Source organism: Homo sapiens, chromosome 10 (assembly GCF_000001405.40).
Source record: "Homo sapiens chromosome 10, GRCh38.p14 Primary Assembly".
Lineage (NCBI taxonomy): Eukaryota > Metazoa > Chordata > Mammalia > Primates > Hominidae > Homo > Homo sapiens.
The window spans coordinates 89,475,124-89,491,812 of NC_000010.11; the positions used below are offsets into that span (position 1 = coordinate 89,475,124).

Genomic DNA, 16,689 nt, shown 5'->3' on the forward strand with positions numbered 1-16,689 from the left:
AACAAGAATTAAATGTCTGCCTCTACCCCACCCCAGTTAACATCCTGGCCTATGGCTAGGAAACAGAGAGGAAACCATGTGTATTAAAGGGTAATTTTCCAAGTATGAGAGAATTCCAACATTTTTTTCTGCACAGCCTTTACAGCAGTGTAGCAAAGGGTTCCAGCTGGTAGCCTTACAGACTTCTATCCTAGGGGCAAACTCGAGTTCCAAAGGGACTGAACGTGGGAGGGAAGTTAAGAAACCCCTCTCTCTCTGCTTAGGCTTGCACAGTCTCTGGCCCAAGCACCCAATTGTTTTCATCCACTTAGAGCCTCTGGATCCTGGAGATGCCTTCAACTGGAAATTGATTTATTTATTTTTATTGTTTACTGACATTACACATGTGCCATGAGACAATACATATATAATGTTCTAGGTGAAGAGAGACTAAGACTGCTTTTTTTGATGTGCTTATTTTTCCTTTCTGCTTCTCTCTGCTTAGTCCTCAAACAAATCCTGGTAACGGGAGTAAATAATTACTGACTTCAACCAGAAATTTTTGGATGTTTGTCAGAGACCTTTGGGCACTAAACTGAAACACTGACCTTTGCTAAAGAAACTGCCAAAGCCTCTACATTGTGTGTGATGCTTTGAGGACAGGAACACTTTACATAAGACTTAGAATAAACAGCAGAGTGATTTATATGGTATTTGGTCTACAGAAAGGAAGAAAAAGGTACAACTCGTGATTCACATACGAGGCAGACAGTAGAAAGCAAAATTCTTTCCCACCCTTTCAGTTCCTAATCCACAGAGCCACCGATTCTAGGCAACATCAGAAAAATGCTTACTTCTGAGTGGTTGAATGTGCAATTCATAACCAGAAGCTTGCCCCCAACTACATTTTCTGCAGTAATAGGGTTCTGGTATAACATTGGGTGTAGTGTCTGGCATAAAGTCGGTGCTCAATACTTGTGTAGTTCCATGAATAAATTTTTGTGTCTAACTCAGTGCCTTGTATAACTCTTTTATTCTAATTTTGTACTCTGTTACAGAGTATGGCATCATTAAGTCAGATTATATCGGAGGCATCTTGGCTGTAAAGGAGAACCTGGGAGTTTGAGATGCATTTCACAGAGTCTTTTTGTTCGTCATCAGAGAGCCTATTATTGAGAACAGTGCTGCTCTCCATACCACGATATTTCCTTCACTCTGTAATCGCTGCCATCCGCCATGCTGTTGAAATGGGAGGGGCAATGAGTCCATTATTTCAGTCAGCTAGAAATTAACCCCTCATGTCATGGAGTACTACGGAGAACTGGTGTTTGTAGGAGTGCAGGCAGAAGAACATAGTTCTGCACTCAGAGTGTGAGATCCCTAAGAGGAGGGACCCTGGAGGCTCCCACTCCCCACTATCTCCAGTGCCTAGGATCATGCCTGGGAGAGAACAGGGACTCAATAAGCAGTTACTGAACAAACTTCCCAGTTCTCTGGTTCAGGATAATTTCTCAAATTACATGGGGAAATGGTACACGGAGCTTGAAGAATGGTAACAAGAAACCCTTTCTTTGATCTTTTTATCCACCATAACCAGCCTTCCCAGCACTGGGGTCATAGAACCCTAACTGACTACATCTCTCTGGGCACATACCTAGGCCCTGACCCCAGACCAGGCCAAAGGTGGAAACAGAAATTCACTGGCAGATTTGCCCCTTCTTTCTGCTTTTGCAAAGTGGGCCGCAGGAGGGCTCACCTACAGGGCCTGGCACTCGGCCCACAGTCTGCCCCACATCACGCTGGCCATCACATTCCACAGGCCTGTAGAGATGTTTATTTTTGTGTTCTGTAGACTCTGCTCACTGCTTGAGCCACAGCAGGTCACACAAAGGACAAGGTGTTGCCAAGGCTGAGAATGTGGTGTACTATTTTTTTGTAAGACGGGGGCTTGAATTTCTGCTGTGAAATGAGTTAGAAATGATTTTACAAAAATTCCTTCAAGATACGGATGGTCGTTTTTGTTCCTATCCTGATAGAAATAGATATTGTTAAACCAGTTCATTCCACCTCCCTCTAGTTTGGAACCGAAGAAAGTTTGATGAACTTTTAACAAAGTCCTTGGAAGTAATTCCCAGATTCTTTGCATGTGAGTACAGTCTGTACATTTAAAAACATGTCCAGCCCAGGCGCAGTGGCTCACGCCTGTAATCCCAGCACTTTGGGAGGCCGAGGTGGGCGGATCACTTGAGGTCAAGAGTTCAAGACCAGCCTGACCAACATGGAGGAACCCCATCTCTACTAAAAATACAAAATTAGCTGGGCGTGGTGGTGCATGTCTGTAATCCCAGCTACTCGGGAGGCTGAGGCAGGAGAATCACTTGAACCCAGGAGGAGGAGGTTGCGTTGAGCCGAGATTGTGCCATTGCACTTGAGCCTGGGCAACAAGAGCAAAACTCTGTCTCAAAAAAAAAAAAAAAAAAAAAAAAAGATGTCCTTAGCCAAACACAGCAATAGTTATATTCTTAATATAAGCCATAAGCCATTTGTTAGTTAAGAATCTGTATAAAGACAATAAGTAAAATAAATTTGATGAATTTTCAAATAAATTTTCTTATGAATCACTAAGGCACTTACACATTTGAAGAATCATGTAACTGTGTAAGATATTCTGTCCACCAACAATATTATATGTACATATGGATTTACAGTCTCTGTACTAAGTCTATTGTTCCCTCCCAGTTCTGAGACCGGCCCCTGCCCTGCCCCCGCCCCCACCCCCACCCCGATGAAGTCCCTCTGTTTATTAAGAGTAGGACTTGTGCCTTGGAGAACATGAGTTCTTTCTGGTTTACTGGGTATATTATTTAAGGAACTGGGAAGGGAAGACTTCAATAAAGACATTGTTTATAAAGGTATAAGCAGTGTTAATAATATCTAACAACACTATATCATGATAGTGTTGGAGAATAACAGTTACATCAAGTAGAACTTAATAAAGGAAGTGGAGTGCCTTGGGTCTAGTAACAGTGGGAAACTATTACCACCTCTAGACTTAAGGGGGCAGAGGGAGAGAGCAGTTACTAGAATCTTGGAGAGTTGACGTAGAAAGTCCCTGTTGAAGGGAAGCAGTCAGTCCACAGGATCTGACAGTGAAAGAACCAAGGAGGTAAACACATCAGCCACACCTACTCCTGCATTCCAAGTCTCAGAGGTAATTGAACCCAATGGGAGCCCAACTGATGCAGTCCATAAATGTTTTCAGCCTCCCAGGTCAGAGAACAGGGTGGAAGTGGGATGGACAGTGAACCTGCAGGGGGAAACAAAAACTGTGTTGCATACCAGTGTGATCCGTAAGCTTGCCTTGCAGCATTCTAGGGCTATGGTAAAAAGGTGAAGTCAAGTCCTGAGCTCACGCTGGGCTTTGCCTTTAAACTAGATCAAGTTGCTGATGTTTACCAACTCAAATCTTTTAGTGTATTTCAAAGATGAAACTCATCTGTGAAACCAACTTCCTCTTTCACTGCTCAGACTTAAGCATTCCCTTAGTTTCAGCCACCTATCACCTTTATTTAAATGGACAACTATAAAATCTGCATCTCTGCTTCCGATCTTTCTCCCAAGTTACAGACTCAAATTTCCAATAGTCTGCAGGGTACCTCAAACTCTCATGTCCAAAAACACTGGCTATTCACTCCTGGAAACACTGTTTTCTTAATGCTCTCATTGTTTCCAACTAGAAATGCTAAAAGCTTTGAGTCATTTTGACTCTATCCCAACTCTCATTACAAGTGAATCCAACTCTTATCACTTATTTTTTGTAATCCCTTTCACATCTGCCCTCCCATCTTAATTTTCCATTGCCTTGTTCCTGAACTGAGCCTGAGCCCGTCCTAGCCTGGCTTGTTCAGCCCTGACTCTACCTCTTACTTATGGACTGACCTTATTTAGACTTCTCTGCCACTTACTAATAGTGAACTGTCACTTAGTGTCTCAGTGCCTCATTCCTTATCTGCAGGATAGCCGCATGTTTAGTACCTACAGCTGGGGACAAAGACCTCCTTTTCCATGATCCTGTGGGGTGGAGACTCCAGTAGATTTAACACTCCTGGCTCTTCTCCTTCTCCTCACTTTTCGCTGTAAGAGGGGTTGCTTATCTGTTTCCTTGGGAGAAATCATTGCCTACACTCACCTCACACTCTTTCTCTTTTTTTTTTTCATGTGGGATCTGCCTATTTGTAGAGAAGCTTATCTTCCTCAGCAATTCTGTGCTATAAGTAAAATAGGGGAAGATGCCCTTGCAAGGAGGCCTGTGGTTGTTTAAGAGCTGACAGTGACTACAACTTGGCTCCTTTTCATGAGCAAAGTATTGCAACCCTACTTGGCTAGTTGTCCTAAGCCTCGTGCCTTAACTATCAGTATTATTAGCCTTTAGGGTGGCATTTTGATCTTCATCTGTTTAATTCCTGTTTCTACCTCTAAATTGGCTTAGAACTTAGGGAAAATATGAATGTTTTGTATTGGTCCTTTCAAATCCCAACTCCTACCCCACGGAGTTGTTGAGAAAATGAAATGAGGTAACCCATATTATATCACAAAGCATAGGTCCTGTCCACAGTAAGCATTCAAATAAATGTTAGCTATTACTACTATTGTTATTATAGACTGCCTCCATGAGCCTTACATAAGGGATAAAAAACTTAAAATTTCAATATCCTGTGATTATTATGATTTATATATCACGATAGTGTTGGAGAATAATAGTTATATCAAGTAGAACTTCATAAACTGCAAAAGAAGCTCTATCACCATTCTCTATCCAAAGACTTTACATAGAGGCATTTACATGTCTCCTGAGGCTGGGTGTGAAAAATGTTCTGAAAGATAATTTATCTGAGAAGGAGGCTTATAAGAGGCCCTTTAGGTCATGATGCAGCTGTAAATAGTAACACAACATGGCTCAGAAAAAGATCTTTAAAAATAAAAAAGAAACCCACATTCCTCTGACAGGACACCCCTCTCTCAATAATTCCAGGGTTTTTTTGCCATCCCACTCCACCCTCAGTTATACTACTACTCTTTGAGGCCATTAAAACTGCTGCAAATATGAATACCACATTACATTTTGAAGCACATGGAACAGTGCCCTTGGCATGAGGTCAGACATATCTGGCTTGGAAACTCTACTCTGATAATTACTAGCTCTGTGATTTTGACATGCAACTTAGCTTTCTGAATCTGTCCTGCTGTGTACATTGCAGTGAATATTTCCTTTTAAAGGGGGCTTTAATGAGGGTTAAATGGCAAAATACATGTAAAAGCATCTGATACCTATTAAATATTCACATATTAACAAATACTAATTTCTTTCTATATAATACCAGCAAATACATTTTTCATCTTCATTGATTTCTTTCAATAATTTTCCAAACTAAAAAGTAAGAGACTGTTCACTACAGTAGCTATACAGGAGCATATAGTAGGTACAAAAAAATGCTTAACTAAGTTATTACATATACCAGTTACTAGATCAAATAGTAACATGATTAGAAAATTAGTAAATATATAGCTTAATCATCACTAAAAGTACACACATATTTCTTTTCTTGGAGTATCAAAAGGAAAACAGACCCAGTGTCTTCATCTTTCCAAGTCAATTTTCCCTTATGCTATGCAGACAACACAAAAGAGTTAAATGGAGTGAGGAAGACTGGCAAAATGAAAATAAGAGGGAGAACTATAAATCCAAGAAATGCCATGTTTCTTGAACATTTAAACTAATTTTCACTTCTTTGCAGTATTTAGTTGATTCTTTATTTTGAACTTCCACCGAAATTCTTTACAGACAAATATCTGTATACTAAATATCTGTGTCTACGTTCTTTCCTTTTTAATGATTTTTCCTAAGTTGTACACAAATGCTATGTCCAATCCCTGAACTATTAAAAGCCTCTATAAATGACAGCTCTGAGGACTGTATCAGCACACAAAAATGCCCATCTATGTTGGGATATTAACTCTAAATCAGAACACAAAATGTATGTGCTATGAGTACAACTGTAGAAATACATATGCATAAGGACAAAATAAGAAATGAATGCACCAAAATAGAAAATAGCTGTGTGAGGAAACTGAGATAATGAATGAGCTCTTCCTGTATTTTCTGAATTTCCTGGAATACTCATGCTCTTTTTATACAAAGTAATAAAACCACTTGTACATAGTGGCAACTAAGTGTGTACATTTTTTTTTCCATTTAACATCAGTTCACATCCGCTTGTCTATATACTTGGCGTAGTTGACATTTGTCTATATATATATGTTTAGGTTTGCTCTCTTTATTTAAACTTATTGAGATTTTATCATTCCACTAATACCTGAGAGTTTTGCTTTTGGGACTACTCTCATACACAGATTAAAAGTTTCCCCCTCACTTTTTATCTGCCCAAGAAGCCAAAAACAAGAATCTATTGATGGATAGATAAACTGTATGACTATTTTTTTAAGGTTGGCTACTATCTAATTGACACTGTTTTTTTTTTCTTGTGTGTGTGTGTGTGTGTGTGAGAGAGAGAGAGAGTGTGTGTGTGTGTGTGTGTGTGTGTAAAACAAAAAAAAATGTATTCCAGCATGGTTTTTCACTATAACTTTCAAAAATTGTTTTCCTTTTACAAAGTGATGCAACATTTGATGACTAAATAACATGGAATGAAAAAGTCCACTTTAGGACAACTGCACTACACAGAATGAGAATGCAATGTTCTTTCTCATGGCATTTCAGGCTCGCATGAGGAAATCATTCTCTTTTTCTTTCATAAACTTCTTGAGAGAATGCTGACAATGATAAAATTGTCTTCACCGGAAGCTAGGAGAAAAACAAGTTAATATTTTCAGGATAAAAATAAGTAAAGGCATGAGTTACGCTGAATAGTTTTAGAATCTTTGAATGAAATAGCCCAAACAGAGAAAATAAATTTTTTGAATTTCGAAAAATAATTAATCATCTAAAAGATTGAAAAGTACAATTTAGTCTGTACTTAATGATTTGTGTCTTAAATCCATACTCCTCACTTAGAATAGAGTGTCAAATAGTACAAATTCAGTTTACTTTGGATTATCATTTCTCAAGAATACACCAAAAAAAAAAAAAAAAGAAGAAGAAAAGAAAAAAAGGCTAAAGTATAGCTACAGACTATGGTACAAAGTTAACATATATTCTTAGAAGCATTCCAAAGGCCAGTGTAGTCAATGTATTTTTACAATGTACTCTACACTAACAAGTTTGAGGTCATGGGTTTTAGATCCATCAATAATAAATTTTAATCACAGTGTGGCAGAAAACAGTATCATGGTCAATGTATAACCAAGGATGAGAAGTCATAGTTAAGAGTCTAATAGATGCCGGGTGTGATGGCTCACGCCTATAATCCCAGCACTTGGGGAGGCTGAGGTGGGCAAATTGCTTGAACCAAGGAGTTTGAGAACAGCCTGGGCAACATAGCAAGACCCTGTCTCTACAAAAAATACAAAAAAAAATTCCCAGGCACAGTGGCGTGGGCCTGTAGTCCCAGCTACTAGGGAAGCTGAGGTGGGAGGATCCTTGAGCCTGTGAGGTAGAGGTTGCAATGAGACAAGATCACACTACTGAACTACAGCCTGGGTGACAAGAGTGAGACCCTGTCTAAAAAAAAAAAAAAATGTCTAATAGAATAGACCAAGAAAAAAGAAGAAAAAACCCACAAAATTTAGCAGAGTGAAATCATGTTGTGTAGAAGGAAACACATCAATATGCCTTCTTAATCCAGAGCTTCCTAGTTGCTTAGCCGGGCTCCAGGTGTGACATGAATCTGTATTAGTCTACTCCAGCTGCTATAACAAAATACCAGACACTGGATGGCTAAAACGGAAATTTACTTTCTCAGTTCTGGAAGCTAGAAGTCCACGATTAAGGTGTCAGCAAATTCAGTTTCTGGGGACAGCTCCCTTCCTGGCTTGAAGATGGCCACCTTTTTTTTTGCAATGTGCTCACGTGGCCTTTCTTGAGTGCATGTGCATGTGCTGGAGGAGAGGGGGTGTGAGTTCTCTGGCATCTCTTCTAAGGACACTAGTCCTATCATGGCCTACCCTTATGGGCCTCCTTCAACCTTAATTACTTCCTTTGAGGGCCCATCTCCAGATACATCACATTGAGGGTTAGGGCTTCAACATATGAATTTGGTGGGAACACAAACATTGAGTCCATAACAGGACCCTCAGCTCATGAGGCAGCTGGGCAGATCTTCTGGTGGCCATACCCCAGAGTCGCCAGGGCCAGTAACAGCATCATGGTTTACTCCAATGTGGTTTAGAAAGATGATGATTTTTGAGGTCTGCCTCCCCAAGAGAGGTTGGGAAGCACTGCCTTATCAAATTGAATACATCACTGCCCTGCCAACCATTATAATAATAAATTGCAATAACCCTCTAAAATGAAGAAAATTGTCTGGGTACAGTGGCACATGCCTGTAGTTCCACCTACTTAATAGGCTAAGGCAGGAGGATAGCTTAAGTCCATGACTTTGAGGCTGTAGTGCATTATAATCGTGCCTGTGAACAGCCACTGCACTCCAGCCTTGGCAACATAGTGAGACGCTGCCTCTAAAAAAAAAAAAAAACAAAAAAAAAAAAACGGAAGAAGAAAATCCTGATAACAATTAATGCTTACATAGCATTCACTGTGTATTATGCCTGTTCTTAGTGCTTTTTACACATGTTCACTCATTTAATTCTCACAAAAACCCTCTGATACATGTATTATAATGCTGTGGTCAAGTGCATAGTCTTTTGGCATCCAAATGCTGAGTTCAAATCTCAGCTTCTGCATTTCTAGCTGTGTAAACTTGGTCATGTTACTAAGTCTCAGAACCCAGGTGTGGTGGCACATGAGTGTAATCCCAGCCGCCTACTCAGGAAGCTGACATGGGTGGCTCTCTTAAGGCCAGGAGTTTGGGACCAGCCTGGGCAACATAGCAAGACACTGTCTCAAAAGAAAAAAGTTACTAAGTCTTTTTGAACTTCAGTTTTCCCCATCTGTACAATGAAGATAAATATACAAATGTATAATTCCAAAAAGTTCTGAGAACAAACCCATAATTTTCCCAGATATTGACAGTGTAATTATTTGGTGACAAGACCTAAACTACGTATATATCTCTTTTAGTAGAATATTCCTATGTTCTATTATAGAATATCTTATGATTGATTACCAGATACTCCCTCAGATCCTGCTAGAGGGTTACAAATATCTGCTCTCCATACCATAACAAAAAATCTTGTCCTAAGGATTTCTGAAAAGAGTTTCAACTCACAGTTGTGGGTACGTAGTAAATTAATTTAACACACTTAAAACAGTACCTGGCATATCCAGTGAGTAATACACAAGTGATAATTATTATTATTACTGTTGTTATTATCACTGCCATTGTGTAGGTGAGGAAATGAGGCAAAGAGAGATCCAATAAATAGTCTGTCCAAGCCACAGCTGGCATGCAGTATGATGAATGTGAACCTAGACAGTGTAGCTCCGAAGCCTGTGCTCTTAACCACTGCACTGCCCCATCTCCACAAGTTGCATACGTTTTACTTGTGTGCAATATAATCTAAGAAGGCATTGCTTCCTTAAAATATTTTTAGAATTTTTCCTATGTAAATTGGAAATACTAGGTACTTAATGGAGTATGCACTCAGATACAAGGGAAATTCCACTCCCCAGCATGATCTGGGGCAGGTGAGTGACAGCCACGTTTGTGCTACCTGTTCTGCACCTCCCTGGCCCTGCCGATTGTACCAGGAGTCTACACATCATCCCAAGGAACCAATCCAAAGACCGAATCAAATTCTGAGATTCTATGTCTTTGGAGTAGGCAACTGAGTCAGGCTGGAGCTGGGAGGTGCAGCACAACAAGGCTGAGGAGCCACCTTCTGCCTGTATATAGAGCAGCCGAGAACCAGGGGAACAAGGAAGCAGTTTCCTATGGATCAGTCGTTGTCAACAATGGCCAATTTGGCTCCCCAGAGGACATTTGGCAATGTCTATAGAGGCATATTTGGTTGTCACAATCAGGGTGTGCTACTGGCATCTAGGGCACAGAGGCCAGGGATGCTGCTGAACATTCCACAGGACATCCTGAAAAACAAAAGCAATTATCTGGCCCAAATGTCAACAGTGACAAGGTTGAGAAAGCCTGATATAGACTTAGAGCAAGAAACTATGTGGCTTCAACAAAAGGGTGAGATGGAGAAATGAGTTGCATTAGCTCCAATGGCTTCCCAGGTCCTGAACTCAGCTGCTTATGACATCTAACGGCTCATCCTGCTCCAGGTGCCCTGAGGTCCTTTATGGCCAATGTTCTTCACGTCCACTTACCATTCCACAAAAGTTCTCCATTTCCTAACAGCAGTTTAATGAGTTTATGCTACCTGCAACCAAAGATATCTGAGATAGGCTTGGGGGAGAACAACTCAGGATGGCAGGAAGAGGGATTCAGGCATGGGGAAGAGTGTATTAAACACAGAGACTGAGAGGGCATTTGGAGAAACGCCCATGGAAAGGGGAAGAACAATGCAGGTGAAAGAAGAAATGAGTCAGGGCAAAGAAGCCCCAATAAGCATAGTGTGTTTGTGTGCAGAAAGGAGAGCAGCGTGTGTAGATCAGTAGGTGCACACTGGGGAAGTTAAAGAAATTAATTTAAGAGGTAACAGTTTTGAAAGATGCATCAGGACATACAATTGTAATAAAGACTCACATATCTGTGACTGTACTAAGCCTAATTCATCCTTATAAAAATTCATGCATATAAGAAAAGTACCTTTGGGAATATAAACTTCCTTGGTAAGCCATCATGACAGAGTGGAAATTCTGCCCTATCAGTAAAATCCATGATTAGGTACATTCAACAAGCAGTATTTTCTGAAGATGTAAAATAACAAAAGAAGAGGCAGAAATCCCTGGCATTTATGGGAATCAGTCAAAATAGTTTTTCATCAATAAGCTCCTCAGTTCTCTATTCTATACTCTGGGGAAGATGACCCGTGTCTTGCAGGGTTGGAAGGCAGTGAGCTCACTGCCTGGTACTGAGGATGATCTAGGTTGTATGTAAAAGCCCCATATGGCTCCCTTATTTTCTTATCTAAAAAAAGAAAGAAAAAGACCACAAAGATTGAGAATTGGCCTCCCTGCTCCATCACTCAGTCAGGAGACTTAGAATTCATAAAAATATCATTAAATTTACAGAGTCAAATATATAAGTAAACTATGTGACTGTGACATGTTATAGAACCTTCTCTACGAAATATAGAAAAAAATTAGTCAGACACAGTGGCATGTGCCTGTAGTCCCAGCTACTCAGGAGACTGAGGTCGGAGGATCCCTTGAATCCAGGAATTCAAAATTACAATGAGCTATTATCAAGCCACTGTACTCCAGCCTAGGTGACAGAGTGAAACCTTGTCTCAAAAAAAAAAAAAAAGAAAGAAAGAAAGAAAGAAAGAAAGAAAGAAAGAAAGAAAGAAAGAAAGAAAGAAAGAAAAGAAAGAAAGAAAGAAAAGAAAGAAAAGAAAAGAAAAAAGAAAGAAAGAAAAAAAGAGAAAAACGAAATAAGTAGAAATAAGTATAGAAATAAAGACTAGGAAATGAATATCACAGAAAAAGGGATGTCCTGGATACCTTGTTTTTCTTTTTCTCTCCTTTGTTTTCCAATAAAGATAACTGTGACTCTTTGAGGAAAAAGTTGATTTTCTGCTTAGTAAATCAAAGGTTCTAGATCAAAAAGCAACAGATACAGTGTTCAGAGAGAGATATGTGTGGGCTGGTACCAAATCAACCAGTGAAGTCAAAAGACACTCCAGGAGAAAATTTGGAAGTATGGGACGAAACATACACCCTTTCACTTCCAATAGGCAGTGCTTCAAAAGGACGATCCCCAGCAATCCCTTCTATGGCTGACTGACAAGAAAGCTGTGGGCTCTGCGGATTCCATACAAAGGGTCAGATTCCTCTGAATGAACACAACCATCCTGAGGCAAGGCAACAAGCCTTCTCTAAGGGGAAATCACATCTAACTCATTAATTGGGTGTTTAAAGGAAATGCCCAGAATGGTGTGGCAAAAAGAGAACTCAAATTTTTAATTCTGAAGATTAACATCATCATAGTGTACCATCTCACACCTATCAGAATGGCTATTACTAAAAAGTCAAAAAACAACAGATGTTGGCAAGGATGTGGAGAAAAGGGAACTCTCATACATTGTCGGTGGGAATGTAAGTTAATAAAACCTCTATGGAAAACAGTATGGAGATTTCTCAAAGAACTAAAAATAGAACTACCATTCAACCCACCAATCACACTACTGGGTATTTACCCAAAGGAAAAGAAATTGTTGGCCAAGTATGGTGGCTCACACCTGTAATCCCAACACTTTGGAAGTCCGAGGCTGGTGGATCACCTGAGGTCAGGAGTTCGAGACCAGCCTGGCCAACATGGAGAAACCCCACTTTTACTAAAAATACAAAAAAAAAAAAAAAATTAGCTGGGCGTGGTGGTGCGCGCCTGTAGCCCCAGCTGCTCAGGAGGCTTAGGCACAAGAATGGCTTGAACCTGGGAGGCAGAGTTTGCTGTGAGCTGAGATCACGCCACTGCACTCCAGCCTGGGCAACAGAGCGATTCTGTCTCAAAAAAAAAAAAAAAAAAAAGGAAGTGTTATTTCTCTGTCAAAAAGACACCTGCACTTGTATGTTTGTTACAGCACTATTCACAATAGTAAAGTCACAGAATCAATCCAAGTGTCCATCAACAGATGATTGGATAAAGAAAATGTGGTGTGTGTGTATATATATATATATATATATATATATATATACACACACACATTTATTATACCATATTAATATATATTAAATATATATGTGTATGTATAATACATATTATTTATCTATATATACACATATATAAAATCATGGAATACTACATAGCCAGAAAAAAGAGTGAAATCATGTTTCTGCAGCAACAAGGATGGGACACACTAGAAGCCCAAACCTTACCATTACTCAATATATCCATATAAGAAACCTGCACATGTATTCCCTGAGTCTACAGAAATTTTTTTAAAAGATCCATCAAAAAAATCCCTTAATCATAAGGAAGGTTTTTTGAGGAACTTTTTAAAGAATGAATAGCAGCTACTATTTTTTCAGCACTGATTTGTGGTCAGTGCTAAGGAAGTCACATGCATTATGGTCATTTGGAAGAGGATGTGGATGCCAGCTCTTTGTTGGTGGAACTCAGCAGCATGGTACCACACCTTGCACAGCAGAATTTCATTTTCCTTTCTGAATTAATTCCATGCCTATAGGAGTGCTAATAAGGACTTAGGAAACAAACTGCCTCACACTCTAATTGATAGGCTATGGGAGAGGTTCAGTGAACCTCAAATAAGTTAGCTTTAATATATTGGGTCACTCCAATGCCTATGCCTAGGATAAAAGCAGCAGCAACGACTAACTGACAATAGTAACAGTTTCCCACCAAATGATGCCTTAGAAATCTGTAGATGGCTCCTCTCTGAGCAGTTTGGGGGATTCCCGAAGGACCAACCCCTAACCTTGTAAAAGATGTTAGGAAGAAGGATAGAGCCTAGGATGCAGAGAGCTCCTTGTAAACTAGACAGATGCTATGCACAGAGATATTGAGATCTGGTTAGGAATATTCTGCATAATATCAGGATAAGTCCAGGATGTTGTATGACAAGAGTCAAAAAGAAAACTGACGTATCAGGAAACGACTGGGGAGTGGCTTTATCAGAGCTAGCCAGTGTACAGCTTCAGGGAGAGTTCTTTCATGATGAAAGAAAAGGTGATCATATTTTTTGTACTTGTACATTTTACTTTTAAGTAATCATCTCTAGAAATGTGGGCATATTATAACACATAACCATTGGGAAAAATCTTTGAAATTACTACTGTTATTGTTTTCACGGCTCAATCATTTAAATAAGAAAACCAAGCTCACCATTTCATAGACATATTAATGCTATTTTGACCCCAACGTTACTGCCCAATTTGGTCGTGAATATCACACATTAGACTTGGTTCACAATGGCTTTTTGATGTTTCCAAAAATCATATTCACCTTCTTGGAGATTGGCCACTGCTGAGGATTATTCTTTATATACTAAAGATTTAAACTTATTTTACTTTATTTTATTTTATTTTATTTATTTTTGAGACAGGGTCTCACTCTGTCACCCAGGCTGGAGTGCAATGGCGAGATCTAGGCTCACTGCAACCTCTGTCTCCCGGGCTCAAGGATTCTTCCACCTCAACCTCCCGATTACCTGGGACTACAGACTCATGCCACTGTACCCGGCTAACTTTTTGTGTGCTTTTTGTAGAGACGGGCTCTCCCCATGTTACCCAGGCTGGTGTTCAACGTCTGTACTCAAGCAATCCACCTACCTTTGCCTCCCAAAGTGCTGGGATTATAGGCATGAGCCACCGTGCCAGTCCTTAAAGTAATTTTTTAAATGAGATCTTAAAAACTGTGAACTATGACAGCTTGACCTTAAAAACCTAAGGTGAATACTTTTAAAGGGATAATATCATTTGGAATATATTTTACACTATATTTTTGAGTCAATATTTTATTACATGTGTTTATACCTGTAAACACATAATAAGGTCTGTTATTTCAAATATGATGAAAAAAGGTATAAAAATTAATGCTGACTGGTTCCTAAAGATATGTCTAATGTCCTTTGAGGATCAAAAAAGTCATTATAGTCACTAGTCATCATCAAGGGGAAATAGGAACAAACTGAACAATGTATTTCTCCTGTGTAAAACATTAGCATCCATAATGCTACATAAACTCTGTTCACTTGAAAATCAAAAAAACTATAACAATTTCTGAAGGGTCAAAGATAGATAACTATAGTGACTCAAGGTATGAAGGGTCTTTATATGAAGAGGAATGTAAAAGTAGGGCTTTTCTTCAATAGGCAAAGAAATGAGTCAAAGATGGATGAGCCTGAAGATTGTAAAATCATGATGAGCAGATAACAGTGAACCTGGACTTGCAATCAAATCTCAGAACTTGCTGGCAACTCCTGGAGGAGGTCATGTCGGTTTATATGTAAAACAGTACTCTGTGATTTTCAAATCCTCCAATACCAACTCCATGTCTAACAATTCAACTCAACTCTGATGCTATCTGCCTGAGTTAGTGTCAGATCCCACAAGTTAAGGGGCTCGGTCTCACAAGACTGCCCCACTTCAGATACCAGTCACAAGTCTGGGCCTCCCTTCTAACTTCTGATGGACCAGCTATAAATCAAGGGTTCCCACAACCCCCTCAATACTTTGCTTTAATTACTCACAGAACTCAGGGAAAAATCTTTACTTATGTTTACTGGTATATTATAAAGGATACAGCTCAGGAACAATCATATGGAAGAGAAGCATAAGGCAAGGTATGGGGGGCCGGGATTGGGAACGCAGAGCTTCTATGCATCCCACCCTCCTAGCAACTCCATGTGTTCACCAACCCAAAAGCTCTCTGAATCCCTTCAGTTAGGGTTTTTATGGCAGCTTCATTAAGTTAGCATGATTGGTTAAATCATTGACCATTTCAGATAAACTCAACCTTCGGCCCCTCTCTACTCCTGGAGGTAGTGGGAGCAGTTGCTGAAAGTCCAACCCTTTAGTCATGGGACAAGCAGTCTCCCATCTTTAGGGCCTTTTCAAAAATCATCTCATTAACAAAAGCTCAGGCTGGATGAAGTTAGCTTGTTATGAATAACAAAAGACAATTCTCTCACTCCAGAGCTATTTCAAGAACTGGAGACAAAAACCAAATACTATAACAAAAGATGCCCCTATCACTCATATTAACACTTATGAAATTCCAAGAGTTTTAGGCAGCCAAATACATATTTCTTATTTTATTACATGACTTCTCCCATGAATAGCAACTATACTACCACCCCCACTCTCCATGAGGCAAAAGATGCGTCAGTTTCTCATGAGCCAGTTACAGAGCTTTCTGGGGAAAGAGCTGCCTGGAGCCATTATAATCCTGCCCAAGAGGGCCTGCTGGCAGAGGGGATGGTTTTCTAACAGTAAAGGTCCATAACCACAAGAGAACCAGGAGCTGAGTTGCAACCAGGCAAAAGAGATATACTACATGCCTCACAGGTGTGTGCCTAGAAGGACAAGCAGGGAGCCTCCATAAAAAAATAAAAATAAAAACAAAAAACAAAAAACAAAACAAAACATAAAATCACCTACTACATAAAAAGTTAACAAGTGCGCATACCAAGTAAGATTGTGCCCTATTTTCCTAATCTCTTCTCCCACTGAGCCAGACCCTAGAGGAGTTTTTTTTTTTTTAAATTAATTCCAGAAAGCTGGGAAAGAAAAAACATTAAGCTGGAAAGAGGAAAGAATCATGCCTCCTTCTCCCACTACAAACAGACAATTTTATAGTGGCCCTGCCTGGGGGAGGAGGTAAGAATTGACATTAAAACTAAATTCTAAGTTTTTATCATGTGTGTGAATTAGATATTTTAATTTCTAAATTGAGACTGTGTTTGTGACTTAAAATGACCCAGAGGATGGTCTGTTACCTAACAATGAGCAGAAAGCCATGGGACCTGTCCACGTGTTCATCCAGGGATGGG

General features: G+C 39.7%; 1 protein-coding gene across 7 annotated transcripts in view, besides 2 other annotated features; it reads right to left on the bottom strand.

Annotated features, from left to right (window-relative positions):
* Nucleotides 1–16,689, bottom strand: part of SLC16A12 (solute carrier family 16 member 12) — a 126,406-nt gene that overhangs the window by 44,825 nt on the left and 64,892 nt on the right. The gene's annotated exons all lie outside the window — the stretch shown is intronic.
* Nucleotides 1,244–1,744: an enhancer, noted in NCBI's record as "H3K4me1 hESC enhancer chr10:91236124-91236624 (GRCh37/hg19 assembly coordinates)". NCBI's record gives its function as "activates a minimal SCP1, AML or CMV promoter by ChIP-STARR-seq in naive H9 embryonic stem cells {active_cell/tissue: H9 hESC(naive)}" and the evidence as "EXISTENCE:reporter gene assay evidence [ECO:0000049][PMID:30033119]".
* Nucleotides 15,503–16,004: an enhancer, noted in NCBI's record as "NANOG hESC enhancer chr10:91250383-91250884 (GRCh37/hg19 assembly coordinates)". NCBI's record gives its function as "activates a minimal SCP1, AML or CMV promoter by ChIP-STARR-seq in primed H9 embryonic stem cells {active_cell/tissue: H9 hESC(primed)}" and the evidence as "EXISTENCE:reporter gene assay evidence [ECO:0000049][PMID:30033119]".